Below are 15548 nucleotides of genomic sequence, written 5' to 3' on the forward strand. Positions count from 1 at the left end.
GGGTTTCTCAAGCTGAGATGTGCATAAACCTTCCTGGAGGGTTTGTGAGAAAAAGATCCCCAGGCCCCAGCCCCAGGGATCCTGATTCAGTAGGTCTGAGAGGACCCGCAGATTTTTATTTCTCACAAGCTCCCAGTAGATATTGGTGCTGCCTCCCTTGGACACCACTTGGAGTAATGCTGTTCTAGAACCTTTTGGCTTGGAGAGGGATGTGGGGAGGGCTGCGCAGTGAATGGAAGCCTGACTGTTCAACTGTATGTTCTAGAGCTACAGGCCATTTAGATGAATAGTTTAAGAAATTTCATGAATTGATAATTTTAATGTTTGTTTATTTGATTGTTTGGGGTCTTCTGCTTGGTTGCTGTGTGACCAGCTCCAGTCATTATATTTTTATATCTCAACCATTATCTCAAAAGGGGCTAATTTTTAAAAACTAAAAGTTTCTCTGTGGGTATCCTGTTCTCAGAGATAGATAACAGCTCTGCAAATGCAGAAGAGCTTTTAACTGTACTATCCATTAACCCAGCATTCCCTGGGCCTGGTGGGATAGGTCAGGGAGACCCTCCATGCCCTGTGCAAACAGCAAAACAAGGCTAAACACCAAATAAATGCCTGGGGTGAGGTGCTCATTCACCCAGCTGTGTGGTCACACATAAGAAGTGAGAGGAAAGGTGAGGGAACCCTGCCTTCACCTTCACCTTAAAACTGGAATAAATCTAACTTTTTATGTTCAAAAAGTATCAAAGGACAGAGGGAGGCAAGAAGGAAGGGAGAAATAAGGGAAGGAAGGGAGGGAGGAAGGGAGGAAGGAAAGAAAGAGAGAGAATGAAGGAGATGAAGGGAGCACCAACTCAGAGTTCAGGACTTAATGTTCCACTAAAAGCTAAACAAATAAAAAAAGTTTGCATGAATCTTGTGAGAAATAAAGAAGAATACACATGATTTTATGCCTGTTTCCCAGAGACCTGTCAGAAAAGATCTTCCACAAATGAGGAAACTTTGCTCTCTTGGGTATGAGCTGCAGAGCAGAAAGTCTCCTGAGTGTACACACATTCACACACACACACACACACACACACACACACACACACACTCTTGGGGCCAGACTACATGCACAACTCACAGACATGGAGCCTAATTGTTACTGGTGAAAAGGAAAAAGATGACAAATTAATGCACATTAGAAATCCTTCCCTATTTAATGAAGCCATCAGCAATTTCAATTTCCTTGTTCGTTTGTTAGTGTTTGTTTTTTTGTTTTTAAGAGTGCTTAGCTAGTGGTTACTTCCTGGACCTCCATGGGTGCTTCTTCCACTTTGTATGGCATTTGTAAACAAATATAATTGGAAATAAAATGGCTCCAAACATTTGCCCTCCAGATTTTTTAAATTCTAAGGTTTAAAAAATAGCAAAGTTGCTTTCTTTTGCCTGAGATTTCAGCCTATGAGGTGCTCAGCCAAGGAGAGGAGAAGCTTTTTAACACAGGCACCATAGTCCCTCTTCTGGTGCTGGAGCCATTTCAGCTCTGAAGCAGTATTTTACATAACCCTGCAGGCAGCGCTGAGTCAAACTACCTGCCAAAGGTGATTGGTTATTGCCCAGCCTCTCTGTTTGCTACAGAGAGCATCCTGGATCCAGCTTCTGACACCTCCTCCTACTCCAGATGCTTCATTGTATAGATGAAGAAACAGAATTTCTAAGAGATTGAGAGATCCTATCCCGATCATCCAGATATCCAGTAATAGAGCTGGGTCAAAATCGAGAACACAGATCTGACTACCAGACAATGCTCTTCGCTTAATTGTCCAAAAGCATGTTCCCCAATTAAGTGGAAACCATGCTGTAAACCAAAAGCAGCCTCTGCCCCCAGATCAGTTAGGTCTTCTAATATTGACAAGACGGAATTGAAGAGGAGCACTGATGTCAGGATTCTATTTGGAATCTTGAGGCCACCCAGCGTGTAGTCAGCACACTGCATTGTTTCCTGTGTTATTGGTATGCATGCCTGTTCGCTCAGAGGCTGCATTCTCCACCAGAGATGGACTGTGCCTTGTTCATCTTTGTGCTTCCCCTCCTCCAGCTGCTTACCATAGATTTTGCACACCATGAGCACTTGGTACATCTTTTTAAACATAAATGAGTGCCCAAAACACCCAACGGAACAGGGATGGCAAAGATGTCCTGTAGATTGAGAATGGGGAGGGGGGGAAATAATCATCTGTGTTTTCTGAAATAGAAATCTTAAGGGGGACAGCTGCCTACATGTAGAGAATTACCAGGGAGTGGGTTCTAGACTCCTGAACATTTTTTTTGGAGCCCAGTCATTCAGGGATTCTTCACTCTTTGCTTCTTAGGACATGTTATTGTCTTAATTGCAAGCTCCACAAACCTCTGATCAACACTGCCCCTCCTAAGAGACGAGCACACGTGCAATCCCTTTGGAAAAGCTTAATCAGCCCTAATTGAGTCACAATACCAACTCAAATTAATTAGACTTTCAGAAAGTTGTCAACATCCTTCAAGATAACCTGGGCTGACTGCTCCATAGCCTTCACAGGGGAGTACGTGTTCAAATTCTAAAAGCTTGAAATTCTACCAGTGACTCCTGAATAAAGACCCTTTCTTTTCGAAGACATTCACTCCACTGGCTTTTTACTTCTATACTAAACAGAAATATAAACAGAACATCAGACTCCAGGAAGGATCACAAAACTTCAAAGTTCAAAAAGCCTATTTCTGCAGTAGTTTTACAAAGAAGCAATCTGGTGTCAGCTTGTTGTTTTGTTTTTTAAGAAACAGGGTCTCACTCCGTCACCCAGGCTGGAATATAGTGGTGTGATCACAGATCACTGCAGCCTCAACCTCCTGGGCTTCAGCAAAATCCTCCTGCCTCAGCCTCCCGAGTAGCTAGGACTGCAGACATTCACCATCGCACTCCACTAATTTTTTATTTTAGTACAGACAGGGTCTCACTATGTTTCCCAAGCTGGCCCTGAACTCCTAAGCTCAAGTGATCCTGCCACTTCAGCCTCCTAGGTAGCTGGGACTACAGGCACATGCCACCACATCCAGATAATTTGTTAGAATTATTATTTTTTTAGAGATGGGGTCTTGCCATGTTGCCCAGGCTGGCCTTGAACCCCTGGCCTCAAGTGATCCTCCTGCCTCAGCCTCTAAAATGCTGGAATTATACGTCTGAGCCACTGCACCTGTCAGCTTGTAACTCCTTATCAGAGTCTCCATCTCAGAAAAGTGTCATTGCATTCCCAAAAACCAAAAGCATCCCTGACAGAAGTAGAAACAAGTGTCTTCAGATTTAAAAGTCATCAAATCAGACAAATAAAATTAAACCTCTTACATTTCTAGGTCTTGCTACTGCAGCAATCTAAATATATCCTAAGCTTCCTATCACTAATTTCACCACCATAAACTCCGACCATAATGGCTTAATATTAATAATTGGCAGCAAAATTTGTAATATTATTCTCAAGGCACATTTATTTTGCATTTGATAAATAAAAGTATCATTTAAAAAAAAAACCCACCATATCCTTACAAAATACCTTTAAGTAGAGAACCTTTAAGTAGAGAAGCCGAAATCAACGAAAGGTGTCCTCTTATTAAATTTCTCATATTCAGTGACAGGTAGCAAGCATCTCCATCACTATTTTAGAATGAGGAAACAGCCTCAGGGACTTGAACTAAGTGAGTCAGTTGTGAGGCTAAAATAGAAACCAAACTTCAAGATGACCTTGAATGAAATCCAGCCAGAAAAGAAGGCGTACATTGGTAGTGACACTTGTTTAGCCTAATGTGACTCCAGAAAAAAAGTCAGAATAGCCTCATTAAAAAAAATAGCATTACTGCAAATCCTAAATATTATTATACATTTGTCATTACCTTGGCAAATTCATCACATAAGCTTGCTGTTTGGGGTGTAGCCATATGTTACATATGCTATATCTATGCTGTCTTATTTTCCTTCCTAAGTGCAATCCACAGAATACTAAAGTGACTGTTTGTCTCACAAAACTGCTTGCTACAATATGTACTTATTCTTAGATTTTGCATTTCATTCTAAAATCTATTCAAACGTATTTATTAATTAGTTTATCCAGATCAGCAGCATAGCTGGAGGGAACTGCTCATCAAATTGAAAGCAAAATCACTTCTAAAGACATCCAAGACTGAGAGTTTCTGTCAAGACCACCCAACTACTTAGTAACAACGCTGAGTCAAAATCAAGAACGCAGGTCTGACTCCCACCCAGTGCCTTTCATTTAATTGTACCAAACCATTTTCTCCAATTAAGTGGAAACCCTACTCCAAACTAAAAGCAGCCCTCTGTTCCCAGATCAGTTAGGGCTTCTAATATCACTGCGACATATTTAAGAGGAGCAGGAAATGTCTATTTGAAGCCTTCTTTCTCTTCACAAAACCCCTCCCTCTTCCTCAACCCTGCTCTGCCTTGCCCAGGTATTAAATGCCACTAGTTTCAAAGCCCATTAATTTGAACTTGTACATAATGAGAAAAAGCAAGAGATGAAAAGTTTGGCTGATATCAAATTGCCCTCTCCACACCACAATATGCACAACTATTTCTGCCTTTGTGGGAAACAAAAGGCATTACAGATGAGGAAGAGAAAAATGGAAAAGGAAGGATAGCAGAAGTTGTATTCCAGTAAAATGTATACTCAGTAAGAAATTGAGGGGTAAAATGCAGCTGGGATAGCAAACCCTCAAAACAAAAAGCAACAATAAAACTCAAAAACTGTCAACTCAAGTGAATAATAAAATGCACAAAATATTCATTTGACTGATGCATAGCCCAAGACTCTCCCATAATTTGCGGGGAGGCCATTCAATTCTACAAACAAGATCTGGCTGGAACCTAGCTTCTCTCATTCCCAAGTGAGCCCAACATTCCAAACCCCTAAGCTAAACTCTCTCTTGCTAAAACTGCTGAGAATACGAAGGCTTCTTGGGATCATACTTTGAACCCAGAAAACAGAAAAGGAGGCCCTCATCTCACTGCATTTAAATCATTCATTTTCTTTTCTATATGCTCCTCTAGGCAGGAGGCTCTGTGAGAGCGGGGCCCACAGAGGTCTGGAACACCTAGTACATACCTGCCTGGATCATCACAGGCCTTTGGTACATCTCTCACTAAATAGATGATTTGCCATGTCATGATACGACCTGAATTCTACTTACACTTATGAGAGAGAAGCACATCAAAGGAATCTGCCCACCTCGTAGCTTCTTCTGTCGATAATCTCCTAGAAAAAAAGAAACATCTGTCTTGAATGTTTCTGAAATAACCTCCTTGCCCTCAACAACCGCTAAGATTTGCTCAAGAAAACAAATTGGAAAAATGTGGGGAAGGGTGCAGGGAGCAAATGAAGACTATACCTGGATTCCTGCAATTCTGTCACTGTAAATTTGTACATTCTTAAGTAACTGATGAAAAAAAACCTCAAGACTGAAATTCAGTGAATTTTGTCTGTTGGCTTTTAGTCTAAAGAACAAAGCTAAGTAAGTACATGATTTAAAGGTATCGAGGTAACAATGGAAAGAAACTGGTCTTAGAGCCAGAAAAGTTAGACTCAGCTCCTGACTCCATTCCTACTGTCACCTAAATGTCTGCACTTCTGAAATGGGGATAATGATGCCCATTACATAGTTGTGTGAGGGTCACACAAGGTAACATCTATGATATTTAATACAGCACCAGCACAGAAGAGGTGCTGAATTCAGGTTACTTGAATCTAAGCATATTTTTAGAGTAAATTTGAACAGTTATTTCCAAATTGAGAGCTCAGATTGACAACTAAGTAGAACCAAGAAGTATCCTTTGCCACCCACAGTTTTATGAGAGATGGATGATATGGCTTACTTAGGAAAAAAAAAAAAAAGAGGATTCCCATTCTGAGATCACTAAGCTATACGTTTTGAAAAGGAAAATAAACATTCCTTTCACTCACGTCCAGGGATATAAAAGGAGCTGCCAAGAGACAGGATTTTTCCAGTGGCTCATCTGGTCAGCATCTCACTAAAGAAGTGAGCTATATGACTTGCTGTATTACCCAGGGAATGGCACGTGGCCGTACTACTCACTTGAGAGCGCGGTTGGGTTTGTCTGGAAGAATAGCTGTGAAATCACTACACGAGTCTGACTTGTGAGACAGGCATCCCAGTCGAGTCCTCATCCCTTTGTTCCTGCAACAAGCACAGGGGCAGAAGGACGGGGAAACTCTCATGATCACAGCTGTCAGCTCTATACAGGGCCCCTGGAGCTGCTGCTACGGGAGCCAGCACTGCCCCCACCCTTCCCCAGGTGGTCTCTGAAGACTTCATGAACAGGAAGAGACCACCTAGAGAATCAATAACTACCTGAATAGGTACCCTAACCGACCCCCTAGAGGCTTAATGCTTTTCAAAGCTGACACAGCAAGTTGACGGTAAGTCAATGAAGGTCATTAGCTTGGAAGAATTTCTAAATTAGGATTCTCTGTAGGGAAAGAAAATACAGTGACAACAAAATAACAATCCACATTTTGCTTTTCCACAAGGAGGGCAAAGTAACAGCAGCAGCAGCAGCTCCTGATTGCAAAGACCCAGAAGGGGTACCAACACCAGGAGCAGAGGGATGTTTGCAGGGTGCAGGGTGCATATCAGAGTCTTAAGCACAAAGCAGGGGGCCTCAAGGCAGGCCAGTTCCAACTCAAGTTCTCCCCACTCATCCCACAAATCTAGCTATAGTCAACCCATAGGATTGATGCCTGTAGGGGGAGAAGAGTAATTGGTACAATCAGCAATTAAGAACCAATGTCCCCTTTGTCAGTTCTTATGCTTGCCTAACTAAGCTCATGTATTCCTATTTACATTTTGGCTTATCTCAATAAGCATAATTAAATTTTTAACATGTATGTTTACATTTCTCATATGTTTTATTTTCCAAAGGACCTATATAATGACATCAGGCACTTAAATAGTTATCTCTTATAACAGATCCAGTGAGAAGTTACTCTAATGTCTCTTTCTGACTCCCAACATTAGTCTCCGTTTACCACTTTACCTTTCTTTAATATGTTTAATTTTTTTTTTTTTAGAGAAACGGTCTTGCTATATTACCCAGGCTGGTCTCAAGCTCCTGGCCTCAAGTGATCTTCCTGCCTCAGCCTCCTGAGTAGCCGGGATTACAGGCCCAAGCCACCACGCCCAGCTAGCCTCTGCTAACCTTTAATCGGAGGTTGACAAACTATAGCCCTGAAAAGGTGCCTGTCTGTGTAAATAAAACTTTATTGGAACACAACCACACCATTTGTTTACGAATTGTCTAAAGCTGCTTTCAACTACAAGGGCAGAGTTGGGTAGTTGCAGCACAGACCATATGGCCCACAAACCCAAAAATATTTATTCTCTAGCCCTTGACAGAATAAGTTTGCTGACCCCTCACCTTTAACTATGACAACTCCTTGTGTTGAGGGCAAAGGTAAGTGGGACAGGTTTAGTATAATCAAATCAGGACTTAAGAGTGACTTAGAAAAAGGAAGTGCCGCTTGCACATTTGCAACAATTTGCCACAGAAATAGTCCTAGAAGATGCCATTCTGCATGTTGAAAGGAGTCCTTCTGGCTAGCTTTCTTTCCTCTTTTTCCTAGGGGTGGGAAGAGACCTTAGAGGTCGTCCAATTCAATCTCTTTTACTTCAAATGGATTTTCATCCCTGGTAATTGTCTTTGTTCACAGAAATCTTATCCAAGAAATTTCTGCTGGGATGGTATTATATTTGGCAGGGATGGACAGCATTTGTATTCCACAGCACATCTCTGAAGAGCCTCCTAGGGCTGGAACATCCAAGTTCCCAGAAATATCCTCTCTCCTGCAAAAAATTGGGCCTGCACGTCCCCTGCTCCCACCTTGAATCTCAGCCAGGCCGCATTGTGAAGCCATCTATTTCATGGCATTTCCAAACATTGGCTACTGCTATTCTCTCTCCTGCGACAGCGGGCATCTTATGTGTCTACTCGCGCTTGCAAATCGCAGGGTGTCTGACAGCACGCCTTGCGAGCAGCTGATTGAGGGCCCTCGAGTCATCACATTCCATGAATTCAAGTTAAGGTCCTGCTCAGGCTGCCCCACAGACCAAAGCCCAACTTTCAGTGAGTTGGTTCATTCCTTGTGCCTCAGGATCATCAATCATAAAACATTCAGGTCACTGCCCTCAAAGAGCAATCAAGAGGACTTTCAAAAAATCACAAATCCACGCAAGCCATTTAACAAGGTTTAGCAGGGACCAGTGTAAAGGATGCTACTTGTTACCAAGACAACTGTGATTCTCCCAAATAGTTTGCAAAAATCTTCAACAAAATATTCTTTGGGACAAAATGGTTTTTATTTTTCATCTTTCTAGCTAAGACCTCAATTATAATCTTCTTAGCTAGGTCTGAAATAATGAGGGTAGAAGTAGGAGTCAAAGGTTAAGGATACTTTTTTAAAAATAACGAGGCTTTCCCTCATCTTTCTCCTTTCTACAGCCCCATCCCAGTAACTCACAGAGATCCCTAAATTGTTCCATACAAGCTCATGCACAGTCCCTCATCCCACCCCACAAGTCACTGCCAAGCTGTCTCACCAGTCAATGGGAGGGCTTCAGCTAAGGCAGGTCCTGCTTGCAAGGCCACAACTTTGCAAGAGGCATACAGACAAGAACCGTGCAGTTCACACAGGAGGCCTATGGGGACAGATGAAAGTAGACCACGCATGGGCTCAGAAGGCTTGGGCCAGACTCAAATAACAGAGGGTGTGACAAGGTGGAGAAAAGAGGAAAGGGTCAGGGGCAAGAAAACAGGCCATTGATTCATTACCTGCGTGGCATCAGTAAGGCCGCCATACAGGCATCAGCTTACGGTTAACCCTTGGGCTGGTATGCAGGGACGTCAGGGCAGGAAATAAGACTGCGGGGCTCAGGAATTTACCCTTGCACGTCCTCTCACCTAAAATCAAAGAATCTGCTGTAAGAGGGGCCACCCTCTCTCATCTGACTGCACTACATTTCCTCTCAGACGGGTTTCCGCCAGCGGAACACCTCCCCACACACATCCCCCCAGCCCCACAAATGTCCACTTGTCCTTAGCAGGGGCGACAAACCAAGGATGGACAAGAACAAATTGTTGGTGGCTTCATGTTGTTGATTATTGGTTAGGAGTTCCTGATTCCCCAACCACTGGCCATCAAATATAAAGTGGAACGTGTGCCTCAGGGGAGGCGTGGGCCTAGCAAACCAAAAATTACTGCTCTCTTTCTCTTACTAAAGTGGGGCCCAAGTGACCAGCAAGCGGGATTGGAGGAGGGGGTCGGCACTTGCTCCAAAATAATCTGATTGGATGCTGCTCTGATTCTCGCCTCCCTCCAAGTGAACCTGTCCCAGGTGGGAGTGCGTGGAGACTCGGGAAAGTGGGAGTGGGAGGGAGGTTGGAGGAACTCCAAGAGAGGCTTGTCAGGCACCATCACCACACAGGCTTGCTCCTCTGCAGGGATCACAGGTGCAGGCTGAAGAAACGAATATGCAAGTTACCCTTTCTTGCCCATATGGAGCCTACATGACCTTCCTCAGCCTGGGGCCTGGCCTATTCTTGACGCGAAGCAGGAAGGACATGAGTGTGGGAAGACAGGGGTCATTGAGGTTGAAAGCTGATTGACTTACAGTCTTCCTCTCCTGAGGGTCCCATTCTCAGTGCTTCAAACCCTTTGTTCCCACAGAAGACCTCTGATAGGAAGAAACACGTGAGGAGAGCAGCCTATCCATAAAGGGCTCCCCTGGGGGACTCTGACATCAAACATAGAACCCATTTTAAAAGGAACCTAATTTAGATAGATAAGACTCCTATGTGAGCTACACCATTTAAATTATTTTTATATTACCGCGACTATTTCACAAGTACTTTTTAAAAATAGCTTCTTTAATAATACTATAATTAATAAAATTAAAAGATTGCTTTGTTAAAACTAGAAAAAAAAATTAGTTAGACTGTGTATGAAGGTCCATTGTCACGGATTGTGTTCCCTGGCTGCAGGGACATTTCCTTAATCTTTCTCCTAACCAGGCTTACACTTGCTTCCTCAGAAGTCATGAAATCAAAGCTTTTGCAGCTGTGCCGGTCCCTAGAAGTCATGTTTGGGGCACCTAGGCCTCTTGCTGTGGGATATGGCCCCAGGGGAAGGGGAAACTCATGCAGGGACCTTTATTATCCTAGAGCCAAGTGGAACCAGAGACGACTACCCACCTACATTGCAGGCAAGGTCATTTGGGGCAGGGGATCACCCACCCTTCTGTCCCCGCCTTGTCTCTCTTCCCATTCCACTGCCAGCCCACACTGGCTTGCCCATGCTGTTCAGTTGCCTGTCTCTCTCCTTCAAATCCAGCGCTGCCCAAATTGCTGCTCAGACCCTCCACTACCCATTTGATGCTCTCAACCACAGATGCCAATAAATAAGAATCAGCAGGACACTCTGACCCAGCTGCCTTACCCATCCCAGCACCTCAGGGCTTTTATCCCATTTGGCCCTGGACTTCTGAGAGTTAGGAGTTACCCAAAGCCCAGGAAGTTCAAAGATCTGATTGCCCCCACAGTGCATGTGCCCTCATAGGTGGGCATCAAGTCACAGGTGTGTCTGGGGCAGACAGGATGAGACATAATGGGAAGACAGGATACTCAAAGAAAAAATGAAAGTTAAAAGCAAAGAACAAAGATTTACAAAGAGGGGGAGAGAAACTAGAGCCTCCGAGGGAAGAAAGCAATCAATATGCATGAAGAGGCAAGTTAATTAAATATGGATAATGCAATCGGTGCACACAGACACCCCGGAGAAGAAAGAGAAAAGCAAAGGCAATACTCACTGTCTTTGGCCAGTCCTCATGGCCTGAGGGTCTTTGCCAACTGGATGGTCAGAGAGGCTTCGGGTTAAGGTGTTCTGGGGAAAAAGTAGATCTTTCTTTTAGCAGTCAAATCCTCGGCGAGTGAAGGGCATGTGTGCATGAACACATAGGGGCACACACACACATATACACACACAGGCATGCACAACACACCTCCCACCACTTGAGCCAGGCAGCAAGCGGCCCCACTGAAAGCTCTTCTCTCTGCTTGTCACATCCAGTAAATACTGAAGCAGCCTACACCCAGCGGGCGGCGGCTCAGCTCCCGGGCACAGTCTGCACGCCCATCCTCATTGGCAGGATGCAGAAGGTGCCCCTGAGCTGAGCTCAGCCTCACTAACCTGAAGCTCCTCTGGCTGCAGCTCAGGGAGAAGTCCCCACAGCCCACAGCTGCCTCCCTCTGCACCCAGAGGCTGTGCGGGGGGCAGCAAAGAATAGGTATTAACTCTTTCCAGTCACCAGTGAGCTAAAAATCAAGTGTCCAGGGGACCCTCTTCTAATGAGCCCCGCTGCTGGCTGAAGGTTGGCTGCTGCACCGGGAGTGGGGAGCGTAAAGATCTTGCCCCAGACAGCTGCTGACAGCAGGAGCCACTCCAAATCAAATCTCCTAATGAGCCAGGAGGAGGGGGGCTGTCTTGCTGGGTGTGATGTGATGTGATAAATGCAGAGAGCAAGAAAGCTACAGGGCAGGTCACACATCTAAATTCCACCCCCTTTCTCTCAATTTCTATTGTGCTGCACTACCAAGCCAAACCACACAGCCCTGAAATTAGCCCTCTCTGCCACATCTCAGCTGTGCCCCTTACTCTACAGAGGCATTTCTCCCCCAGCTCATCTCCACTCCCACCCTAACCAGTGCCAACCACACCACTCCCCACTTCTTAATGAGAAATTTCCACCTCCTCTGCCTTCCCAAACATGCATATTTCCAACTCTGTGCTCCTGCCTCTCACCTGGTTTTTCCTACAGTAGAAACTCACCTCTCTCCCTCATCCATCACCTAGCAACTTCCCCCTACTTGCATTTGTTATGGAGTGAGACTTTTCCTTTTGTTCTGCCCGATCTGCACATGATCCCTATTTTTCTGTCTTTTCCATTTCTTTCTTCTTTCAAACCTCCTTACCCACATGGGTCTTCACACTGCCTGCTTCAGTTCCAGAAGGAGGACTCTCTTCCTGCTTGCCCTAGTGTAGTGGTTCTCCAAGCGTGGTCCCTGAACCAGCAGTGTCAGCATCACCTGAGAAGTATCAGAAATGCAAATGTTCAGGCCCCACCCCTAGACCTACAGAATCAGAAACTCTGGGGACAGTAATCAGCCTTCCAGGTGACTGTGATGCATGCTAAAGTTTGCAAACCGCTGCCCTGGGAGAAAGCTTGTCTTCTCGTTATGCTCTAGGTCCCTAAGGTTGAGTCTACACTCCCACTCAGGAACTAGCTCCAAAGACACATAGCCTTTGCTGCAAACCGTTTCTGAAACCCAGAAGGCAGGAGAAATCTCGACAGAAAGTGATGGCTTTATAATAATGGAAATGAATTCGATTTTTTAAACCTTTTTAAATGTATAAAGCATTTTCATGTATTGTCACTCAACAATCCTATGCCACAGTCAGAGAGGGTATTATTATTCCCATGTTACAGATGAAAAAACTGAGGCCAGAAAAGGTGATGTACCTTTATCAAAGCAACCCAACATGCCAGAGGAGGCACAAGGACCAGAATTTGAGTCTTATGACTCTAACAGCAGAGCTCTTTCTACTATATCATACCAGGACCCAGTCTTTCTGGGCAGATCTATTGGTGCATAACCTGAATTCTCTCGGTGAAATGATTCTGCCACAACTACTCATTGTCTGTTGATAAGATGAAATAAAAATTCTGATGCTGCCTCCACAGTGACTCATTGTCTCTTTCTGATATCGTCCACAGTGCCCCTCTATTAAAGAAAGGGAACTTTGTGTTATAAAATAAGATGCAAAAGAAAAGTTTCTCATTTCTTATTACCCCTTTCTTGAACCCTGTTGCTAATTGGGGTTTAGAACTTAAGCAGAAAGAGAACCCTTCATTTCTGGACATTTTCTTGGTACACGGCACCATAAGAAACTTGTACACAGATAAACTGGTGAATAAAAGCCCATTGATAAGCACTCCCCTAATTCAAGATATGTTTATAGAATAAGGTGAATCCACATAGCTAATGTTTAATGAGCAGTTAGTATGTGCCAGACACTATGCCAAACATCGTATTTGAGTTATCTATTTAATTTTCAGAACAAATTTACAAAGCCAACACCTTTATCATCTCCCTTTTACAGATGGAGAAACAGAGACGCGTCATTTAAAAGTGGCAGAGCTGGTATCTAGCACCAAACCTGATGCTTCCAGCCTCTGCTCTACTCCTTGCTTTAACACAAAGGTAGTGCCATCATAGGACACTTTCTACCAGCACTAAAACAGCGGAACAAAGGCCTCCTCCAAATCTCACGCTGCCCCGGCCAGTGTCCACGGGGTAAAGGCCCCAAGGAAAGAGAGCAGGGCTGCAAATGGGCCTGAGTCGCAAGTGGAAGCTAATCAATATTAACCAGGCATCAGAATCTTCAATTAGCCTTTGGGAAAATAATATAGTCACAAGAAGTCAATAAGTCCAATGTTTAAAAAGAGCTATAGTAAACAAGAAAAATGTAAAAGAAAGAACAGGAATATAAAGAGCAGAGGGACAAAAGTGTGTGGACATGAATAACACAAGGAAACGGAACATTAAAACTAGTCCAAGCTTTTTTTTTCTAATCAAAACACTCCTAAATGCCAAAAAGTAATCACAGAGGACCATAGTTTGAGAAGTACAGACGTAGTGCAGGCCCCGCTTACAAGAGGACACCAGCATAATCTTCCAAAGAGGCCAGGGCATAATTTCAGGGAGGAGAATTAAGCTGAACCTAAAGTAAAGCATTCTAGCATCGTCTTCTTTCCTGAAACAAATAAACAGAAAAGGCAAGCAGAGTTAAGTGCTCGTGAGAAAGGAATTCATCACCTTGGACTCTACATTCCCCAGGCTTAGAGCTCTGGCCCAGGAATGTAGAGCTCTGGGTTCTTTTCCAGCTACTGCTCCTGACTTGCTAGCTGCAGTTGGCACAGGACATCTCAACTGGCCACAACTCACGTTTCTTACAGGAACACAGTGATTGCAAGCCCTGCTCCTGCCTCTGGGCTGTCCTGCCCGCCTCTGAACTTCCCAGTCTATACTCACTCCTCTTGGGAAGCCCTGCCCTCTCCAGGCACCCACCACTCCTCTCCAGAATCAGTGCTTCAATCTTGCCTCTTCAGCTCTAGGCCGCTTTTCCAGAGGTTTGCTGGACAGTTCCTCACATCTCAGACCCTGCACACTATACTCTTCTCTAAACAGACCCTGCATGCTATACTGTCTCTAAACAATCACTCTCCCCCATCCTCCATTCCTGCTGGGCTCCCTGTGCTTACTTGTGACATTACTCTGCCCAAGTCCCACAAGGGACCCTAAGCCTAACCCTAACCCCAACAAGTACAGACATTTCTGGCTTCTTTTTCTCCATTCCCTTCCTAAATTGGTTTTTAAATCTTGTCATATTTTTGAAGTATTTCTCAACTTCATTTCCTCCCATCCATTGATGCTGCCATATGAGAGGTTATTCAACCCCCAGCACCTGCACAACCTCCTGCCCTCTCTTAAATAACTGATCTCCCTGCCCTCATTTCTTTCTCTGCCCACCCACAAACCTTCTTGCACACTACACTACCACCAGAGTACCACTGAACAGATACCATAAAGTGGATCATCTGTGCAATCATCTTTGATGGGCTCCATTGCACCTCCTTGTCCTGCCTGACAATGAGTTTGTCCCGTTTGCCTATCCAGGTTTTCTATCCCACACACATGCATGATTCCTCTGCTGTCCCTTCTGCCCGGAATGTCCCCACCCTTGATCTGCCTATTAACTCTCAGCTTCTTCCCTAAACCCATTACCTCAAGCTAAAAATTCTCCTTTCCAAACCTTTTTCAGAATTCTCCCAATCAGAAGGAACCCCCTCCATCCCAATAGCACCACCTTGCTGTAAGGCCCTCTGACAGCCCACATCACAGGCATAGTTTATTCTTAAGATTTATATTTTCTGAGCCTCTCAACTGACTGTGTGCTCCAAAAAGACAGACTCTTTTACTTACTCTCCTTACTATTAATTCTCATTAACTCACAGAGAGCAGGTGTTGAGTAAATGTCGGCTAAATTTGATTTTGAGTTCGTGAAAAAAAAATCTGAAAAATCGCCGAGGATTCTTTATGGTAGAAACATGTTAGACTTCTGCAGCCTTCTGGTCAAGACTGAAGTCAACAGAATGCTAATGACACTCAGGGTCAGCTGCACAGGTACATAAGGCATTTGCAAACTAACCCAATAGCCTGGTCAGGGCAGTGTGGAATTCATCAAGAGCAAAAGGAGCACCTGGCATTGTCACACAGGCCATGAGAATGTAATTAAATTGAAGATAAAGGGAGTTTAAATTTGCAATATAATATTTTAAAAAGCCACGAGAGTGGAGGAGGTTTATTGCCAAATGCCCCTGTGTGTTTATGTAAT

The 15548-nt window shown here is 44.2% G+C and overlaps 1 protein-coding gene across 9 annotated transcripts in view; it reads right to left on the reverse strand.

Annotated features, from left to right (window-relative positions):
* RGS8 (regulator of G protein signaling 8) overlaps positions 1–15548 on the reverse strand; it is a 110559-nt gene that overhangs the window by 18937 nt on the left and 76074 nt on the right. For 3 of the 9 annotated variants that reach the window (XM_011510089.4, NM_033345.4, XM_017002631.3), the window contains 4 exons: positions 12065–12178; positions 10903–10976; positions 6118–6219; positions 5215–5279 (listed from right to left, as the gene is read on the reverse strand). In XM_011510089.4, coding sequence (XP_011508391.1) covers positions 5215–5279; positions 6118–6219; positions 10903–10976; positions 12065–12070 — 247 coding nt within the window. In that variant the 5' untranslated portion in view covers positions 12071–12178. Of the gene's footprint in view, positions 1–5214; positions 5280–6117; positions 6220–8869; positions 8999–10902; positions 11171–11282; positions 11485–12064; positions 12179–15548 lie in introns of those variants that run through there. The other 6 variants (NM_001387847.1, NM_001102450.3, NM_001387848.1 and 3 more) reach the window with 5 other exon arrangements.

Source organism: Homo sapiens, chromosome 1, assembly GCF_000001405.40.
Source record: "Homo sapiens chromosome 1, GRCh38.p14 Primary Assembly".
In the NCBI taxonomy this organism is placed as follows: Eukaryota; Metazoa; Chordata; class Mammalia; order Primates; family Hominidae; genus Homo; species Homo sapiens.